The 1249-nt window shown below is 50.8% G+C and overlaps 1 annotated feature.

Annotated features, from left to right (window-relative positions):
• Window positions 499-999: an enhancer, noted in NCBI's record as "H3K4me1 hESC enhancer chr1:91654217-91654717 (GRCh37/hg19 assembly coordinates)". NCBI's record gives its function as "activates a minimal SCP1, AML or CMV promoter by ChIP-STARR-seq in naive H9 embryonic stem cells {active_cell/tissue: H9 hESC(naive)}" and the evidence as "EXISTENCE:reporter gene assay evidence [ECO:0000049][PMID:30033119]".

Here is a 1249-nt window from a genome sequence, read left to right as displayed (position 1 = left end):
AACACTGTCAGATGGAAAATACAGGGGTAATCAGAAGGACAGAGAGAAGAAACCCCTTCAGTGGCCAGGCTGTTCTCTCTAGAGGTGTAGTCTTTTTTAGCTATTGTTTGTAGCTCTGCCAACAGTTTTCCTATCAGAGGTTGCAGGCAGAAAAAACTAATCACCATTAAATGTTCATGAGCAGCTACCACAGAGTTGGACCACAGCAAGTGATGGCTGGGTTCTTGGGTTTGCTTTATTTCTTCCAATGCAAGCACATGGCATTGGTTGCCCTGACTTGCGGGCAGCTGGGCCTGCCCCCTGCTCCTGCTGGGCTCGTTGGAACAGATTTTTAAAAACAGGTCAGGGAGGAATCCGTCTTGCATGACACACTGCACATGAATGGCTCCTGTGTGCTTCCTCACCCTGAACATGTCCTCTTCTTAATTATGATGACAATCCCAAGTTTGGGTGCTTTAGAAAGTCGTCCATCTGCATGTGTGTGTGTGTATGTTCTTTGTGCTCTGTGTACATGTGTGTTCTCTTAGACAAGAAAAAACATACTCTTGCTGTTTAAAATATCTTGTCAAGGTGCAGGTGGCTGGCAAGAAGGCCAAACAGGAAGAGCTCCAGTCTGCAGCTCCCAGCGAGATCAACACAGAAGCTGGGTGATTTCTGCATTTCCAACTGAGGTACCCAGCTCATCAGATTGGGACTGGTTCGGAGGGCAAGACGAAGCAGGGTGGGGCGTCACTTCACCCAGGAAGCGCAAGGTGTCAGGGAACTCCCTCCCCTATCCAAGGGAAGCTGTGAGAGACTGTGCCCTGAGGAACGGTGCACTCCAGCCCAGATACTGTGTTTTTCCCATGATCTTCGCAACCCGCAGACCAGGAGATTCCCTCAGGTGACTACACCACGAGGGCCCTGGGTTTCAAGCACAAAACTGGGCAGCCATTTGGGCAGACACCAAGCTAGCTGCAGGAGTTTTTTTTCATACTCCAGTGGTGCCTGGAGTGCCAGTGAGACAGAACCGTTTCCTCCCCTAGAAAGGGGGCTGAAGCCAGGGAGCCAAGTGGTCTAGCTCAGTGGATCCCACACTCATGGAGTCCAGCAAGCTAAGATCCACTGGCTTGAAATTGTCACTGCCAGCACAGCAGTCTGAAGTCGACTTGGGTGCTCAAGCTTGGTGGGGGGAGGGGCGTCCACCATTACTAAGGCTTGAGCAAGCGGTTTTCCCTCACAGTGTAAGCAAAGCTGCTGGGAAGTTTGA

The sequence above is a fragment of the Homo sapiens genome, chromosome 1 (assembly GCF_000001405.40).
Source record: "Homo sapiens chromosome 1, GRCh38.p14 Primary Assembly".
Taxonomy (NCBI): Eukaryota; Metazoa; Chordata; class Mammalia; order Primates; family Hominidae; genus Homo; species Homo sapiens.
The sequence above is the reverse complement of the archived record's forward strand: the minus strand, read 5'-3'. Positions and strand labels throughout refer to the sequence as shown.